At 35.5% G+C, this 20949-nt stretch overlaps 1 protein-coding gene across 4 annotated transcripts in view; it reads left to right on the plus strand.

Annotated features, from left to right (window-relative positions):
* Window positions 1-20949, plus strand: part of ZPLD1 (zona pellucida like domain containing 1) — a 94698-nt gene that overhangs the window by 41638 nt on the left and 32111 nt on the right. For 2 of the 4 annotated variants that reach the window (XM_017005703.1, XM_017005704.1), the window contains one exon: window positions 11699-11812. In XM_017005703.1, coding sequence (XP_016861192.1) covers window positions 11707-11812 — 106 coding nt within the window. In that variant the 5' untranslated portion in view covers window positions 11699-11706. Of the gene's footprint in view, window positions 1-8233; window positions 8374-10078; window positions 10193-11698; window positions 11813-20949 lie in introns of those variants that run through there. The other 2 variants (NM_001329788.2, NM_175056.2) reach the window with 2 other exon arrangements.

Consider the following 20949-nt stretch of genomic DNA (forward strand, 5'->3'; position numbering starts at 1 on the left):
TGTGGATGTGATTTCATCATGTCCAAAAGTATCATATTTTGTGGATGTAGTTTTATTGTTCACAAGCAGCTAAGCTATAAATTTTAGAAATTATTATTTCAGGAGATGTTTTTAGTTGTCCTTTTATATTACTTATGGCAATAATGCAACTATCTAAGAAAAACACTCAGCCACTTGACATCAATTTCCAGATCTAAAGAGCAAAGGCAGCTCTGTTTGCTTCAACACCTTCCTGAGTAATGTCATGAAGTTTAATATTACATCCTCCCAAACAGGTCAATAAATAATTTTAAAAAATCATGAACGTTAACGAGAACAGGGGTGAAAATGTGTTTTGGACAGAATAAAGTACTATTATAAATTACCAGCAGCCTATTTTATTTCGTGATTATTGCTTCCTAAAGGCCATTGAGAAACAAAAATGTAGACTCAAAAAGAAATAAAATAAAAGTATACCACCAATAGCGACTTATTTTTTTCATGTAATTTTAATTTTACCATTTTTGTCTGGAAGGAAGGACAAAATCATCCAAAAGTGGAAGGGCTAATGTTTTTCTTTAGCAACATGGAGATTAGGCTGTAAGATCTCTTGCTGATTTTATCTCTTATACAATGACCAGAGGTAGATATGAGGGTTTTGGGGATGCATCACTTGCCACCTCTTCAATTGTCATGGATAAAGCAAGAAGACAATGGAAGATCTCTAAATCCTTTTGGAATAGTAAAGCCTACATTCTGATAAAGGAGGTGATATTTGAAGGCAGGTCCCAGGGAGTGTATTACTATTTTATCCCCCAGTTGTTAAAACATCACAGTTTCATAGGTACTTTATCTCTAGGGCAATACTTCATTTCACATATGAAGTAGTTGGCAGTAAGGCCCAGCATATGACATCCCCAAGAGCACACACACAATTCGTGACAGAATGAGAACCAGAGCCCAAACCTACAGTTATATTTATTCAAGGGTCAGCCCTACTATGTGGCATAAATGACATGTTACATGAAATACACAGACAACATGAAGACACAAATATCTCCGTGAGGCTCCAGAAGTTGTTGGCAGGCTCAGCCCACTACTTATGGTGGTAAAGCATTTTTTTTTCTTAAAAAACTTTCACTACCCCTAGATCATAAAGATAGTTTCCCATATTAACTTCTGTAAGTTTTACTGTTTTTAATGCAATTATTATAAAGCTGAAGTGCTTCCTTTTGATTAAAAAGTTTTTGAGGAAGAAACAGATATTCTATGCAATTAGTAAAGTCACATCAAACTGGCATTTTTATTAACAAACTCAACTATATAGTCTCAGAAAAAAAGAGGGAAGTGCAATTAATAAAAATAGTATGTGTAGTCTTTCTATTGTTTCGGTCAATGACTTTATTTATTACCCTGTATAAACGTGAGAGACAATATCAAACTGACTTTCTTCCATTGGTTTTAGTTCCTATATAACTCAGTGTGAGCATCTCACCTTGTAGTCTATGATTTTACGGTTTAAAGACGTGAATCTTGCATCTAACATGGCTTCTGAAGCAAAGCAACCACTTTTCTTTGTGTTCACTATGATGTTTTTGATTCCCTAAATTGAATTGTTTAAAAATATATTCTAGAGTTTTAAGAATTAATATTCAAATAAAATAGCTAGGCTCAAATCTAGTCATTCCTCAAGATTTTAAGTTTAAATTCTAACTTAAATTCTGACTTAAAAAATTCAATAATAATTTTTAAGTGGCCTTTGAAAAATGTTTCATCTTATATGCAAAAGCATTTGATTGATGTACTGAAAAGAAATCAAATATACTACATTTTTAGTAGGGGCAGTTTCATATGTTTACAGGAGTTTAATTATCTGCTATTAAAAAATCTCAAGCATTTAATGCTTAAAAATTAAAAAAATAAATTTGTTCAATCTTAGGTTTATTAAATAACATATATGTATATATATGTTATATATATGTGTGTGTGTATATATATATATATGTATATAAAACCTTGGTAGCATTTCAGTTTTACATAAGAAGTTTCCATTGTTTACTTGTTACACATTTTAAGTCATAATAAAAAGACTAACCGGTTACTTAAGTAGGTCAAATTCTTTAACACATTAGAACTGCTAAAAAAACCAACACGCATAGATTCTTTAACATTAAGACATTTACCTAATTGTTGATTATTTTAAACATGTGCTTATATATGCCTGGGCTTAAGTGATACTTATCCACTTGAAACACATTTGTCTTCTAAACTAACTGAAATTACTTATTAGTCAAAGGTTTTGGCTGGGACTATGGCTAGATTCTTATTTGCAGCCATCATGCAACATAATCCTATTTATAGTCTATGTAAGGGCTTAATAAATTAGGGAAGTTCATGTCATTGTTGTTATAGCCCACACAACTCATCTAACTCATGTAATCTAAGTGTTTAACATCCCTTAGATGCAAATGACACATTACCCAATTCTCTCTGCAACCATGCAGCTTTTAATATTTGATTAAAATTTTGCATTTCTTGATTCTTAACATATTTGAATAACTTGTCATGCCACTTTATTTCTGATTTGACAGAATCTTGCATTTTCTCCCATTCTTCTGGTCTGGTAGGACCATGGAATTCTTACAGATTTAAAATGTTATCTGACGAGGGGGAATTTCTATATTACAAGAGACTAATGGAATATAACAACCAAATGTAATACATCATCCTTTTCACTTAGTTGTATTATCTCCTTGGACTCTTTTTAGGGTTTACTGGATTGGGGGGGAAAGTTATATAATATATTTTTTATGAATTGAGAAAGTTTGACTATGACTTGATATTGGATGCTCTTATGAATTAATTGTAACTTTCTTGCGATTGATAATGCCATTGTGGTTATGTGGAGAAGGCCCTTATTCTTGAGATGTGTGCTGGAATATGGATCAAAATGTCTAAAACTAACTTCCAAATGACTCAGTATCCACCACCACCACAACAGATAGATGGATGGATAGATAGATAGATGTACATATGTTTGGATAAATACATAGATAAAAAAGATGAGAAATGCAATATCTAATTGGAATCTCCACATCTCAAGGCTGTATTAGACTCTGTTATAGTCCTAGTTTCTGAGAATGTAACTTGTGAGTCATTCTTGATTCCTTTTTCGTACTCACTCTGCACCTAGAATGCAACAAGTCCTGTTATTTCCTTTTCAAAATAATATTTTAAATATGTTTACTTTAATGCACCCCTAGTATTATAACAGTAGCACTCAATTCAAAAGTCTTCAATGATTTTCCATTCCACTTAGGAGAAAAGGTGTAGCCCGGCCCTGCTGCCTACAGGGAGACAACTTCTGGCCCTCTCCTCCTAGCTCAGGATGATGGACTTTCTTCCAAAAAAGTTTCACAAAGTATTGACTGTTTTGACATTTGAGGATCTGTGGTCATGCGATGAATGCTACCTAGTTCACCTTGCTCCAGCCTTCATCTGACTAACTTGACTCAGTCCTTCAATACTTTTCAACTGTTGCATTTCTCAGAAAGTCTTTTCCTGACACCTGCCATCTAAATTAGGATCTACTGTGCTTTACTTTTCTTTCATAGCACTTTCCTAACATATTTTGCAAACATTTTTTAATGTGCTTGATTATTAATTTAATAACTCCCTCTGTCTATAGTCTATAAGCTCTGTGTGGGTAAAGCTTATGTTTGTTTTGCTTACTTCTGACTTCCCAAGACCTTGAGTCCAATGCTTAGAAACTGCTCACCAAAAATATGTGAAATAAATAATTAATTAACAGAAATCTCAAAGAGAGGAGTACTATAGGAAAAAGAGCTGTTTTATTCTTAGGAAAGGGTTGACAAAGATGTGAAATTATATTGCCATTATTCATTGTTGGTACCCATGAACATACATTTGAATATCGGGGAGTGGGTTTATATTCAGCCAAAAGATACTGGCATTTTGTCCCTTGTGATTGATTCCTGTGCTGTGCCTTCTCATAAATATTTTGCCTATCATCTCTATTGAGAAAGAAATATTTTTATTCTGATGTAATAATACCAATAGTCAAGTTTTCATTGGAGGGAAATGAGCAATTAAGATAACTAGTAAAATTATTATTTTATTATTAATTTGTTATGATTACACTTCATGAAAGGAGGAAGGAAGTCAATATGCTAGCATATCTTCAAAGCTGCTTCAGAAGAATAAAATGTGCAAATATCTTGAAAAGGAACCTGGTGAATTATTAAGGGAAAGCTTTTAAAGTGACTTAGTTCCACCTATCATTTCACTTACTCCCCCAAAACTCAGATTGTACAATAAATGTTCTAAACTAAACACTGTAGATCATTTAAATGCTGTAGATTACTTAAGAAAACCCTCAACAGAAAGACAAATGAGGAAGGCAGGCAAAGGGAAATAAATGAACACTCACTTTGTGTCAGAGAAAATTGGAGTAGGTTTTTCTCTTAGGAGCAGCCTTTAGCATTCATATTTCCTTATGGTATACATCAGCATCTTAAGAGCCATAAAATTTCTGAATGTCTTCTTGTTGGCTCAACATATTTCCTTCTTTGTTTGAGGCATTATTCTGAAAGTACATGGTGTGTTTTTTTCTTTATTTAGCAAGACAAGGACATTCTACATTAATGAATGTATATGTACATAATAATGAATATTTCCAATGAAGGTCATATATTTTCATTTTTCTTTTAATATATATGTTGACTCTAATGTGCAAGTGCAAGATAAAGATAAAGAATATAGAGCTTCAGTCTAGACACCCCATCAGAGAACATGTTTCTTTATTAAGGAGTTGTGATCCTTAGCACTTTAAAACTAATGATTTAGGGCCGGGCATGATGGCTCATGCCTGTAATCCCAGAATTTTGGGAGGCCGGGGTGTGTGGATCACCTGAGGTCAGGAGTTCGCAACCAGCCTGGCCAACATGGTGAAACCCCGTCTCTATTCAAAATACAAAAATTAGCTGGACGTGGTGGCGGTTGCCTGTAATCCCAGCTACTCAGGAGGCTGAGGCAGGAGAATCACTTGAACTCAAGAGGCAGAGGCTGCAGTGAGCCCAGATTGTGCCATTGCACTCCAGCCTGGGTGACAAGAATGAAACTCTGTCTCACAAACAAACAAACAAAAAACAATAATGATTTTGAAGGGCGAGTTAATATGTACTTTTCCTGGAGAGAAGACTGTGTAACATCATGATTCTTAGCTGGGCAATACAGTTGCCTACCTGTGTGGCTTTAGTGCCCGTTTACCTAGGATCTATTAGTTGTCCAATGCTGGAGTAGAGTTTCATCCTTTAACTTAAACTTTGATCTCTGTTAAAATACACACATTTTTTTCTCCTTTTTTCCTGAGATCTTTTAATGTTTCCAGTAATTTAAACCTTAATGAACTGTTGTGATCTTTTCTGCAGAGCAGGTTTGAGTGAGTGATGCAGAAGCACTGGGTATGAGGCCATGCCCCTACAGGAATGGCAGCCTGTGGAGAGTAGCTGCTCAGTAAATGCAGTGGAGAGCCAAGAATTAGAGGACTGGGGCCTCACCGATGCCAAAGAACTCATTTCACATTTTTGTGAATCTGTATGATAAAAAACTAGCTTTAGTTTAGTGGGGAAAAGTGCATAAATCTCAGATTGATGTTTAACATTTGAAGAGATGATATTTAGTTTGAATTTTCTATTTTTCTTTCCAACTATAACAACAGATCAGCCTATATCAAGGCAATGAAATTAAGGAAATTTAAAAGTTTGATAAATTGTTGAGGTCATTTGTCTCTGCAAAAGTTATTTCTTGAGAGCAGATAAAGGCACTTTCGAACATGTTCACTTTTTTTTTCAGGTCACAGGGGTGCTATTTAATAAATTACTTTTCTCAGGCACTAAGAGCCACCTTTATTCATCTGAAAAGGTTAATGCAGATTTTTAAAGTGTCCAAGTTATTCCCAAAGAGTAATTTGTGCACTAGGAAAGTCTATTTTATTTGAGAAGTAGCTAAATGGCAAGAAAAAAAAAGCAAGTGAGGTATACATTATAGACACATAGATCTGGGTTGTTCATAATCAATGTTCCCCCCAGCAAGCTTCATTTATATGGGTTAGTTATATATCTCTGACCACTTTATTTAAAACTTCAATATTTCTTCCTTCCACCTTAGAACTTCCTACTATTCTTCTTGCTTTATTCATCTCCATAGCACTTATCACAAATATACTCTATATTTTACTTGTAGATTTTGGTTCCTTCTGACTTAGAAGTTAGAATGTAAGTTCTATGCAGATATGCAATAAAAATTTTTCTGATTGCTGTACCTCAGCATCCCCCCACTCCCTGGAGAGTACCAGACACATATAAACATTCAATAATTATTTGATCAGTATACACAAGAATAAAGCAATACTGATCAAATTTACCAAGAAATTGCCAAATTTCCATTTGATTTAGCATTATATGCATCATTTTCTGGAAGGCGGTGCCACATAATAGTTGAGGGTTGTTTCTGTAGTCATTGCTCCGGGCGTGAATCCTGATTCTAACAGTGGCTGTCTGCTTAGCATTGGGCAAATTACTTCAGATTACTGTGCCTTAGTTTTCTCATTCCCCAGTATAGGGAGAATAAATTGCCTATCTCATAGTTAGAAAACACATATAAAAGTATTTAAAACACTCTGGTACACAGTCAGCTCTTAAAACTTATAAGTATTACATTAAATCAATTTTTGAAAAGAACAATATTCTTTTTCTTTTTGTCTTGAGACGGAGTCTCGCTCTGTCACCCAGGCTGGAGTGCAGTGGCGTGATCTCGGCTCACTGCAAGCTCCGCCTCCCGGGTTCAAGGCATTCTTCTGACTCAGCCTCCCGAGTAACTGGGACTAAGGCACCCGCCACCACGCCCGGCTAATTTTTTTGTATTTTTTTAGAAGAGACGTGGTTTCACCGTGTTAGCCAGGATGGTCTCGATCTCCTGACCTCGTGATACACCCGCCTCGGCCTCCCAAAGTGCTGAGATTATAGGCGTGAGCCACCGCGCCTGGCCAAGAACAATGTTCTTTATGCACTCACTGCCTAATGAAATAGAGTCATGAAAATTATGTAGATATTAAAAAATATTTTGTCTCAATCATCTGAATTATTTAATTCAGAGCATATCTTAAGCATACATTATTAATATAATTTACTTTCTGAAAATTAGTAGGACATTAATTTTATTTGAAAACCTCCAATCAAGTCAAAGAGAATAATGTAATAATTCCAAATGTCAAGCTCATTTTTGAATTCTGCATTGCCATTTACTATGTCTGTGACCCTGTGCGAGTCAATTAAAATATTTAAGCTTTGGTTTTCACATTTTTAACATGAGTAAAAATTAAATCTATGTAATTAGTTGAATATTAAACATAGCACAGTGCCTGGTACATACAGTAACAGATCTCAATAAAAAGATTAAACAAAGATTATTTTATATTAAAATCTAAAGACCAATGTTTGTGACAGAACTATACCAATTAATATAAAATTGAGGAGGAATTAAAAGTGCATTATATTTTTCTGACTCCAAATTTAATTCTAAGCAAAGAAATTAGAGATTTATATGTTGGAAGAAGTCATTTTAAAAAGAAAATTTAGTATGAGAAATATTGACATATTTGACAGCAAATCACTTAGCATATGACTTCCTTTTCTATTAGTAACAGTTTATGAGATACAGATGTCTCTTTTTTTACACAAACACTTCTGAATTTCTTAAAATTCAACATTTTACTTATAATCCTCCTTCTCCTCCCCATTCCCATCAATTTAAACTTATGAAGATTCTAAATAAGAAACACATACAAAACTCTTTTGCACACATATCTTCAAGGCCATTATCATCTCAGACTGTGGTATTAATATTTTGTATTATTGGATGTATTAGACAAGGCATTCTTGTAAACCACTATTAAAATCCAAGCAGAGACATTGGTTGCTGCACTTAGATGTGGTGGAGAAGGTGAAAAATGCTTCTGCTCAGATTCTCTGTCAAGAGTTTGCTGGAGCCACAGTGGGACAGCAAGCACCTTAGATTATTCCAGAGTAAACCACAGAATCAGGTTCTACATTCTGAAAAGAAACTCCACTAAACCTTTATAACCAGATCAGAGCTAAAATACACATGTCTGGAATTGCACCTGCCTAAGATCTAGGGAGCCTGAGCAGCCAGGATGATATGTTTTTGAGGAATGTAAAGGGTGTTAACATAATCCCCCAATCCCATACAATTCAATTTCAGAAAAGTATTTAGGGACTGTGCTAAAATAGCATCTCCAAGCTTGCTATGGCAAGATGATGCTCAGGTTTTCCATGTGCAGGGGAAATGATGAAGGTAAGGTTGAGGATGGGAAATTTGCAAGATAATAGTTCATCAGTTTGTTTTAACTTACAGTTGAACTATAAAGAAGGCTTGAAAATGTCGTAAGCCCTGCCAAGACTATAGAGATTCAAAATAGGGATACTGCCTTTATAAGAGATATGGGTGTCCTTTTAAAATTCCTTGCCTAATGTGCCTTAATATTAAAACACAGATCAGCACAAATATCATTGTAACTCAAATAGAGATTCAACCAATTAGGGATGTCACTAGCCCATGAGACACTTTGTATTGTAGCTTAGCTCTAGAGTACATGGCTAGTCCAAAGAAGTTCAGACCTAGACATTGTTTTCCTGCATTGGATGCCCTTGTGGAGGGTACGACCTGCACATCAATATGTGGTGGCCTTGAAACTAAGTTTTCAATGCCTTCTGTATGTCCAAACTATACTATACTTTATGCACTTATACTTTGTAAAGTCTATGATCATCATCTTGATTTTTTTTTTTTTTTTTTTTTCTGAGACGGAGTCTTGCTCTGTAGCCCAGGCTGGAGTGCAGTGGCGAGATCTCAGCTCACTGTAAGCTCCGCCTCCTGGGTTCACCCCATTCTCCTGCCTCAGCCTCCCGAGTAGCTGGGACTACAGGCTCCCGCCACCACGCCCGGCTAATTTTTTGTATTTTTACTAGAGACGGTGTTTCACCGTATTAGCCAGGATGATCTCGATCTCCTGACCTCATGATCCACCCGCCTCGGCCTCCCAGAGTGCTGGGATTACGGGCGTGAGCCACCACGCCTGGCCATTATCTTGATTTTTAAATGACAAATCTACAGAATGGCTGAGAAGGGATTTATCTGAATCTATACCTGCTAACATAAAAATCAATATATTTTCTGTTAAAGAAAGCTGCCTTCTACTTCCACCTCGTATTCATTAAAAAATGGTTAGGGTATTAATCACTATGAAAGTGCTGTAGGTTTTGTTAAGGAGAGTAGGACAGTGTCATGCCTTTTTGGGACAACCTGAGATGTGATTTAAAGCTTTAAGGCTAAGAGTTTACTACTTGTTCTCAGTGAGCTGTTTCAATTAACATGAGTTTTTCATTTATTTTTGGCCAACACAAATGTGTCTAGTTTAGTCAATAATAATTTTTTTGCTGTTTTCACAATGAGAAATAAACAATTCTCTCTGTCTCTTTTTTAAAAATAATTTTATTTCTCATAATGCCCCATTATAAAATATATCTATAAAGAAAATTGTATTAATTACATCAAAATTGTTTACTCATTATAAATGAACAGATCTATTAAAAGATACACAAAGTAAAAAGCTAAAGAAAACAGCTGATGATAAATGGCAATAAAGAAAATCTTAAATTTAATAACAGATGAAATTTAGGTAGCTTGTTCAACAAACTTTACTATCAGAAAGACTTAGGGTTGAATTCTAGTTCCTCCACTTCATTTTCACGTCATTTAAACCTTCTGAGACTCATTCTTTTCTCTGTACATGCAGTAATAATTGTAACCTCACCCATCATTATAAAAAATATAAATGAGCAGCTATAGGAAAGTTATCTGGCACAAAGTGCCTTCTTTGTGCAAAGTGTACATTCAGTAAATGTTATTTTCTCCTGTGAAAAATATATGTTAGCTAGAAAGCATTTCAGAACCACAAAATAACTCACCAACTTAAATTCCTGATTCTGTAATTTCTTAGGATACACCTCTGTGTTGGGGACAACAGTGTGGGTCTAGAGTTTCCAATGTCTTCCAGGAGTTCTTGGGACCCATCATGAGAAGGAAGTGGTGGAGCATGGAGCATGGAATAAATGTGGGTGCAGTGGAGTGTATTGCTTATTCAGGCTTCTTTCTTTTCTAGTGTCTTCCAAAGACTCCAAAAGAGCAAGACTGTCTTATTCTAGTTGAAGTATCTTGAGGAGCTAGATAATGATGGCGCAGGTATGGCCAAGAGCTCCTAGGGTCTGGGTCAGCCACTGGTGTGAGCCTTTTGCTTATGGACTGTCACAGGCAATCAGAACTAACTAGGCATATGGCTGTTCTCTCCAAAGTCTTTAGATCTGTGCCCGAGTACTGTGTGATAGTGCCAAAGGAAGGAAGTTCCTGCTGAATTAATATTTTTTTTCAGTCGATTTTTGAGAGTGAGCATGACTTTCTTTCCCACATCCTCACCAAAGTGACTTTATTCACTGTAAACTTGTTATTCTGAAATGATGATTCAAAAGCAAGATGTGTTTCCTTCCTTTTCCTAAAGACTTGATTAATTATCTAAGGGTAGATTTTTAAGGACAGCTAAAACACCATTTTCCTTCCAAAACCCAAGCTTTTAAAATCCACTAAATTATTTGAGTAAACCACTTGCAATTTTATTTTCTTTTTGCTTTTTATGCGTAGACCAAGACCACCAACCCAAAAGATTCTTTTCAGTGTACAAACTATGCTCTGAGAATAAGTTAGGTATTCCTGAAAGATGTTTTAACTCTATCAGGCCAATGAATGGGCATCCAGGAAAAAGAATTATTAAACGCAAAACTGACTGGTGTTTAAGTAAAAGTCCATTTCTATTTAACTGTTCAACCCACACTGATACATTTAAAAAAATCTTCCATTACTTTATCCTAAGAATTCAACGTTTTCTTATGTCTGTATCAGTCCTTACTACCCACCAAGGAGCAGTTGTGGGAGGAACTGCAATGTTGTTCACACACAGAGTATTTTCCTGTTCTTCCTTTTGCTTTATCACTATGTTTCCTAAGAAAATGACACACAAACCATTGATTTTGAAAAGTTGCAGTAGTCTGGAATTCTTCTGTTGGGGGAGACTTTTTTCTGTTTTCTGTTAAGGGAAAGTTGTTATTTGGTCATTAAGATTATTGAGATTCCTCTTAGAATCAAGTATCCAACATTTAAATTCCTCTGACTATATACTTGTTGGTATTGTAAAAAGTAGACTCATCTCCAAATTAGTCTGCCTAGTTATGCTATTCCAATCTGCTAGATACTTGGTTTGCGTTCTTCCTATGCATAATAAAGAAGTTTCCTTTTGTAAACTTTATGATTTATACCTTAGCTCTTCTACTATGAAAATCTAGCTTTGTCACCCTTAGCCAACAGGAGGCAATGATGAAAACAATATTGAAATGTTGTAACCCAAATATCTGCCTTTACTACCGATAATCCTCAGTTATTTCGTGAGCTTTGGCTGCATGGATGTAAACTGCTTATCCAACAGTGAGCTGAGATCAGCCTCAGTTTTTCCAGTAAGTAGGAGTGAAGGAGTTAAGTGGGAGTGTCCACATGATAGATATCTCTTTTCCAGGTTTTGCAATGGAACAAATATGGTTGCTGCTGCTTCTAACAATTAGAGTGCTTCCGGGGTCTGCTCAGTTCAACGGCTACAACTGTGATGCCAACCTCCACAGTAGATTTCCTGGTAAGTGTAAGCCTAATCTATTCTCTAGTTGTTTCTGGAAGAGTGATTATATTTGAAGAGCAAGTCATTTAAATATATATGGAGAACGGGGGGCTATCTCTTTACATTAAGTGGATATTAACAAATGGCAAATGACAAGACATTTTTCTGGAGCTGTAATTTATATCCATATTAACATACAAAGTGTTCATCATAGTTAATATTATTATAATGGCTGCTCACAGATATGAAAAATATTGCCTACTGTGTAAAAAATTGGGAGAGACTAATTTCATTCAAAATTTGTGTCTTTTTTTCTCATAAATTAATTTAGACTTTAAAGAACTGCTCTTAAATGCTAATATTTATTTAGGAATAATCTTAAGAAAATGATTGTAAAATATTGTACAATACAAAAAAATGCTATTTCAATGAAATGATGATTACCACAAAGGACACAGGTGAGCTTCAGAATGAATTTCACAGAAACCCATCAACGTTGTGACAAATACGAGATTTGGCAACATTGATGGGCATGTCCCACAGGTTTCTAAAACCTGCATTCAATGATAAGTTACTCAAGGTTTTACCTAGGTATTCATCATTTTATATTAGCTAAAGTAATGGAACCACAGTTCAACATTTACAAAATAAATATTAGGTAATTGGAAACAATTTTCCAAGTCTGCCATGCAAATGGAATCTCTTTGGCCGTGGTTTACATTCTCAAAACCTGCCAGTCCTCCTGTGTTTGGAGCATGCTATGAAACAGCAAACCTGCATAGAGCAATCAGTAGGTAGTTACATAGATAAAGTGCGATTTCTACAACAGAGCCCACATCAGAAATTGTCTGAATGTCTTCATGAACTTAGACCTAGGATGTAAGTGCTTGGTTTGTTAGTAAAATATGAAGGTCACGGTGGGAATGACCAAAGGAATTCAAGAAAAATTTGCTAAGGCAGAGTTGTTAATGGCTTTGAATATCAAAAATGAGCTTTTTTTACATTTATTATTATGGAAAACTTCAAACATACAAAAGTAGAGGTTAGTAGAAAGAGCACTCATATTGATTATCTAGCGTTATCAATTATCAACATTTATAAATTTTGTTTGATCTTTGTCCTTACCACTCCCATCTCTGGCATATTTAAAATAAATGCATTATTCATGCTTTGGTGTTTATATGTGATGGAAAAGAACTTAAAAATCATTATCCTTTACGTATACGTCTAATAAGCCCAACAGTAATTTCTTAATATCATTAAATGCAGCCAAGTTGCTTCTAAAATCTTCACATAGAGTATTTGTTGATATATCTTTTATTTCATTTTGTTTTATAACAGTTCTCCTCTGTCCTTTGCTTTTACAAAATGCTGTTTATCTCTTTGAGCAGTTTGGTCATTTGTCTTGTAGAGTTCTGACACCGGATTTGGCCAACTGCAACTCTGAGGTGTCATTGAACAGGCTCCTTTTTCCTGTCTATCCTGTAAACCAATGAGAGCTAGAAGTTTAAGTAAATTCAAGTCAATTATTTTGGTGAGAACATGTGTTATGTAGTGTAATAAAAGTGTTTTCTCTTAATTTTGAATGCAATCAAGAGTCACTGAGTCTTTTTAAACATATCTTTTAAGAGGTTTGATGTGGTCACATTTTGTTTTAGGAAGAGACATTAGGACAAGTGTGTAAGATAGAATCAAGTTAGAATAGACTAGAGGCAGAGAGAAATATCCTGAAGGCAGTGGCAGTGGAAGCATTACAAGGGGACAGTTATTAAGAGATATTTTTGTGGTAGACTCAGCAGAAATGGAGAATTGATTTGGTTTGGGAGGTGAGAGAAAGAGAAGATTAAAGGATGTTTTTAACTGGAACAACTGGATGTTGATGCTGTTAACTGACAAAAAAAACATAGGACACTTGCATGTTTTAGAAAGGAAGTTCAAGTTTGGAAATGATGGGCTTGAGGCATTTTTAGAATATATAGTGGCAGTTTCTTTTATTCAGTAGTAGGAAATACAGAGCTGGGTCTGAGAAGAAAGATCAAAACTGAAGATTGCTGTATGAGAGTTTATTCCCTGTGCAATGGATAAGCAATGAGTAGGGAGTAGGAAAATAAAAAGTATGAAAATAGACTACTATTTAGATAACTTTTGTGATTGGGAAAAAAAAAAAAAAAAAAAGAAAGGAGCAACCTGAGCCAGGAATTGAAAGAAAAGAAAGGAGCAACCTGAGGCAGGAGTTGAAATCAATTCCTGGGACTATAGAGGCCTGAGCATACATGAGTAAAGGGAGAGTATTAAAAAAATGGAAATTCAAATAAAGAATAATTGATGAAATGAGAAAAGAAAATACCGAAGCAATCAATGGTACAGATGAAGGAGTTAACCTTGGAAAAGTGTAGTTGTTTGTTTGATTTAAGTGAGAAGGAGAGATAAAGCCACAGTTGGAGAAGGTGAGAGATGCTAATTGTGTTCAGTCCCTCAGTGTAGTGGGAGGCAGTGGCTCTCATCAGAGTCGCTGGCGGCCTGGGAAGGGTGATCAAGCCATGACCCTGTTATGGATGGATAAGAAGGCCAAGTAATAAAATGATTGCTCAACAGAGAAGATCTGACTGGTGTGGTAGTTATATACTTGTAAAGGTGAATAAGGCATGTTAAAGAGCCATGAAATAACTATGACAGGAAAACGAAGTATTTATCATATGGTGAATTTTTAAAAAATCATGTTAAAAAGTCTGTTTACAATGGCATCTACTGACCACCTGTATCAAAATCATATGGGCTAGTTGTTAAAAGTGGGGACTCAACTTGTTTCACCTCAAATAAGTGATGTTAGAATCTCTGAATGTGGTCTTGGGAATCTGTATCTTAAACCCTGCAGATGAATCTAATGTACATTTATGGTTAAGAACAACTGATAGTGTATTCTATCATTTTCTTGAGCCAATTATTCCAATTAAAAGCACAATTATTTGTTGTGGAAATATAACTAAAAACAAAATCTTCTCCCAACCTAGAAATCCTCTCTGCCTAGGTAGTAGAGAAATAAAAACACTTTTATCATTAAATAAGCATTAAACCAGAATGTGATTCACATCACAGGTAATCAGTAAGAGATTACAAAAACAGAAAGAAACCTCGCCCTTATATATAGCCAAGCAGAGACAACTCATTACATATGTTTTCAATATAGACAATAACTAGTCCTCAAGTAAGAGGACTTGACAGGACCATTTGTCACACATATGAATCCTCACTTTACCTGGTAAGTAGGGTGACCATCTGTGTTAGCTGATTTGTTTTATCCAGAGGAAAAAGTAACTTCTCATATCTTTATGACAGGAGGTAATTTTGCAATTTGGAGCAAGGCTCACATCAAAATTAGGCTCCTACCCTAAGCGCAGAAACAGGGACATAAGGCTACCATCTCCCTTGATGTTTACATTTCAAAGAGATGACTCTCAGATCCTTGAGAAAGACATTCCTGGGTCACAAAGCTTACAAGAATCCTATCTAGTTTTCAAAAGGATTAATACACACTTCAAAGAGAGGAGAAAGTACTTCTAATTACAAGTTTTCTAAAGTAAATGCTGTCAGAAAAAGGGAGGAAGTCTCCTCCTCTATTTTCAATTATATTTGTGTTTTGTTTGTATTTTTTCTTACACACATTAGCACTTTAGGTACTATCTGGCTTAGGCAACAAACACCCAAACTTTCCAGACATATATTCATAAACACATACACCCATAAACACACACACACACACACACACACACACACACACACACACACACAGTTACAATTTTAAAATTTGTATTTAAAAAACACTAAATTTGTATTTTAATAACACAAATATTAATAAAATCCAAATAACGCTGAAGTCCCGGGAGAGACTTTATATTTAGATGGGTATTATTTAACCCATTTTTTTGGAGGTTGTTTGCAAAAAGAAGATCAGAGTGAGCAAATAAAGCCTAAAGATTAATTGCTTACTGCCCTCTTGACTCTCAGTATCTCTTCCACATCACGATCACCCTTGATGTCATCAGGAGCTCCACAAGCTGCTCGGAGGCTAAGCAATGGGATGGAATGAGAATGAGTCTGGCAAAGGAAAGGGGCTATCTAAATGCAAAGCAATGTTAATAATGATGAGAGCAATCATCTCACCCTATGTGACCTTTGCTGTTTCATGACATTAGAACTATTTTCTTTAATTTCCATGGCATTTATCCTGGGACCAAGAGAAGCACCATGGTCTAATTCATTTAAATTTAAAGGAATGCCATTTAATTTTAGAGGTGGTTAACTCTTGGTTATCCAAGCTAATAGCAAAAAGCAGACTCATGAACCACTAAAATTACAGTTGTGATGATTCTAGAATAAAACTCAAAGTATAGTTGAATTTAGAGTACCAAGGAATTATTTGGTTAAAGTAAAACATACAGATGAATGTACTTGGCCTTTGTGACTAGTGTATATTTTCCGAAGCCAGGCCCCCTTCTTTGGAAGTATATGAGGATTAGGCTAAACTTTCTGGCCTCTAAAGAAATCTTTAATGATAAAGGCACATCCAAAGAGGAAAATGGCCTTATAGCACAATAAACTTTATGGCTTGACACTGTCTTATGGTGAACTAAGTAGTCATGGGAAACTGAATATGAGTCAGTGTTTCATAACATGTGATTTCGTATTATGCTGTAAATAATACTAATAAGGAAACAAGCAATAAGTTCCATGTTTTGAGTACCAGGCACCTCACAGAATTCTTTCATTTCTTACAATAAACTTACAAAATCTTTTTAAATACCCCCTTTACAGTAGGAAAACTGAGGATATACATTTGTTAAATATTGCAAATCTGCAAATTAATAGAGATTCTTTCCATCAAACAATGATGTCTAAAAATGAAATTTGAATAGTAAGTTTTAAAAATGATGTATGTGTGGAGATTCTCAATGGAAATTGCCACGTCTAAGGATCTGAAAAGTCATGTGTTGGGGGAATTTGTTTAGTCTTTTCAAGACCTGCTTGACTAAGGAAATCTTTTATTCGGTAATATTTTTAATATTTTAATATTCAATGAACACAAGTGTTCCACAGGAGGTAAAATTGAGAATCAATTATTTAATCAATAGAATTCATGAGTGAGTTCAGTAAAATGAACTGTCTAATTTTATATTAGGCTTTGCTTAACCATGGCATTTTTCTGTGCCCAAAGACAAAGTAAGAGAGGTTAGTGGAATAGTTATCCCAGGGAATATGTTCTGGTTCTCTGTATAGAAAGGAAAGGCCAATTCTCCTTTATTCCTACTTTTTAGTGGTAGTGCTTTGGTCTCCAAGTTGTCAAGAGGATGCCTGCTTTCCACTTTGCACCTGTGAAAGCAATTACTACAACAGATGAGGCAGAAGAACAGATCCAGGCAGCTATTGCTGATCACATTCTGATTAATTTACAATGATAAAGTGCAGTGGAGAAGATAGCAATTAGCAAATTCAATGAGTAATTCAGGGTCCATATTCTCCCATATTTTAATAACAGCATTCTTTATTGCATGAATTTTCACTTTTTGTTTTTATAAATAAAACCCATTTGCTTTTTTTGCTGCCTGAAAAAGATGACCAAACTTTTCTGGTTCCAAAGAATGTGGAGCAGCAAGTGTGATTATAAGTCTGCAAAGTTTGCCTCAGACTGCTTATGAACTTCCTAGAGCACTGGAAACAACAGCTTGCATTTGCTAACGAGAAACAGATGTTGTGATGAAAGACTGAGGTGGCACAAAACCTGTTCAATATACAGAGGAAACTTGAATTCCTAATCCACTTTAAGTTCTTCATCAGCTGTTGGTATTTCGTGTAGATGAAATATCAATACCCCTTTAGGACTTCTAGCTCTTTTAGCACCAAAACCTCAATCTTATATAAAAACTTGGTAAGAGCAAATTTTAACTTTCAAAAATGAATTAAAACAACATATGTAGCATCTGTTCTCTAGGCAATTTGTAAGCCCATGTAGTGCCAAATATCACCACTCTTGTTTTAGAGATAAAAGCAGAACTGATATATAAATTATTATTATGGTTTAAAAAGATGGTATAAATTAGTATTGGAATATTTATCGGAGCCCAGGATGTAAATTATTTTCAGGTGAGATTTTCTACCATGCCACAAAGCACTCTGCAGCATACAGAAAAGTTTTCTCCCACTATATTGAACAGATTGCTGTTTATACTATCAGTTTTAAACCAATACTACTTTTAAGTATATGCAAACCAGTACATCAATACTAATGTGATGATATTCACAGGAATCTCTGCATCTGAACCGTACAGAGCCTCCTGCCTGCTCACTGTGGACTAGCCACTCTACCCCCGTCCTCTCCAGTTGCTTCTGATTCCCCAAGACTGCATGTCACACATGCTCAGGAAAGGTCCACTTAGGTTCTTTGCTCTGGACTCCTTGACCACAGTGCTACAGGCACCACCACTGCCAGAAATGCTTTTTTATGAAAACACTGCCCCGCTTGGTGTAGCTGCCTTTTGATGTGGACTGCTCTGCTTCCTCCGGGTATTAAACTGCTATGGTTTACAGAATGAGACAGAGATGGGGGTAAGAGAAGAGGCTGATCCTGTTCCCAATTTTGTTTCACACACTGCCACTGGAGCACTAAAGGAGGCTTACTTAGACTTAGCCTTACCGAGCATTTTATGAGCCTTCTTTCATTGAGATTCAAAACCAGTCAGTTCTTCAGATGAGAGAGGGAGTCAGATGCAGTTCTAACCCCTTCATGATTCTTGTCTCTCTCCCTCCCGTCCCTTTTACAACCAAACTTTTCTCTCTTGTAAGCATGTAAATCAGACAAATAGATATTTGTTAAGAGGCTTAAACTCACCAGGTGAAATCCACCTATGAGCTATCTTCTGTCCAGTCAAAATACAAAGCTGTGACTTAGCACCTGAATTGACTGAGAAGTTGTAACATCAGCATCACCTGGAGGCTTGTAAGAAATGCCAAAACTCAGGCCCCAGCTCAGATCCACTGAATCAGAATCTGTATTTTTATAAGATTCTTTGGTGATTCATCTGCACAGTAAAGTATAAGAAGTGCTGGTTAGAACATGGTACCCATGATAGTCTGCTAGCTTTATGTTGTTACAAAACCACACAGTATTTACACTAGCCCCAGCTGGCCATCATGCACTTGCTTGCTGTTAATAGTAATAGGTATCAACAAACCTATCACTGTTAAAAATTCATTTTTAATGGGGTAAGATAACTAGTCACCAAGGCTAATACACTTAAAGAGATAAAATACAAATAAACAAATTGCAATAATCTATTAATTTTATATTATTTAATGAGTTGCATTTTCTCAATTTGAAGGTAGACATTAAGGATTTTGATGTTCATTGAAAACTGAAAACAGAGGCATCATCTCAGGCAGTTGGCAGAATACAGATAGATGAACATTCAAGATGAACCCATATCAACTGTATACATATTTTGTTTGTAAATGTTGGAACTTGATATTAAAGACTTACACACCATTGAAATAAATGTATTTTAATAAATATTTGCTGAGTATTTGTTATACACTCTAGGAAAACCCAGAACACTCTATTAGTTTATAATTTAACAGGAAAGTAAATATCCACTCTCCGATATAATGTAAGTGAGACAGTAGACCCACAGTTAAAGTGAGATAGGATAGAACATGACGGGATGATTACACTCCATTGGGAAAATTACAGAAAGGCTCATCAGAGGTCAGCTTTGAAATTATTTTTCTGTTTTAAGTTTATTTCTCTTCTTATCTGAATACTCTCATTGGTAATTTCAGCTATTACTATTATTATTGATATACTGAATATTTGGTGATTCTCAAATTTGTATTTCTTGTTTTCTGTCCCCAAATATTAGACTCATATTTCCAACTATCTGCTGTACATTTCTGCTTGAATGTCTCATATGTAACTCAGCCTCTCAAAGACTGAGCTTATCATCTTTCTCCCTGAATTTTTTTATCTTAGGGCATAATCCACCCACTCATCAAAGCTACAAACCTACACATCAGTGACATCCCTTTTTCTTCATGCAGTCTTCTAATCACTTCCTTATAGAATCTAACCAGTTGGAACTATTTTATTTCTTCCTAACAATTCCTTTCAAACACCTCTTTGCTACCAAGACAAGTTTGTTTATAATGTTGTTTACAAATCTCTAGTATATCATTATCAGGCTGTATTGTAATTGCTTACTTTTCTTCTGTCTTCTTTATTCAGTAAGCTCCTTGAAGAAACAGGGTCTTTTGTTAATGTTGTTATCTCAAAGTCTAGCACAGAGACTGGCACATGATATGTACACAATAAATGCTTTCCTGAAACACGTTGTTGATATGAAGTGGCATGTAGTTTAGATCTTGAAAATAAGTAAAACCAATTGCCTCTAGACTAGTAGAAAATTTATGGTACTGATTTTTCATGTTTGATTCTTGTGCATCTCATCTTTTTTTTTCCTTTGAGACAGAGTCTCGCTCTGTCGCCAGGCTGGAGTGCAGTGGCACACTCTCGGCTCACTGCAACCTCTGCCTCCTGGGTTCAAGCCATTCTTGTGCCTCAGCCTCCCAAGTAGCTGGGATTACAGACATGCGTGACCACACCTGGCTAATTTTTGTATTTTTAGTAGAAATGGGGTTTCACCATGTTGGCCAGGATGGTCTTGATCTCTTGACCTTGTGATCCACCCACTTCGGCCTTCCTAAGTGCTGGGATTACAAGCGTGAGCCACCACACCTGGCCTCCCCATCCTTTTTCTTTTACACTATACACTGACCTCCAGAATTTCGTTTCATACAGATGTTTACTTTTTCAGATCAATGATGAAGAAATATCTTGAGTCATTGCACTACAGTGCTGAGTTCCAGCCTACAGCCAAATTTTGGAGTGTTGCCATCTTTGTATTGCAGAATACATATGTGCAAATTCTTTGAATAATTTATTAATCTGTACTCATTATTCTATAAAATAACTGGAAAATATTAAGCATTCTGATGCTAGTGAAGGGAAATGAAGGCTCCAACAGTACTGAGATGAACTGAAAATGATGCAGTCTATCAAAAGCCTCACCATGAGCCTCAGTTGAATGCTGTTAGATTTAAGTAAGGTC

This window comes from Homo sapiens, chromosome 3, assembly GCF_000001405.40.
Source record: "Homo sapiens chromosome 3, GRCh38.p14 Primary Assembly".
NCBI classification, from domain to species: domain Eukaryota; kingdom Metazoa; phylum Chordata; class Mammalia; order Primates; family Hominidae; genus Homo; species Homo sapiens.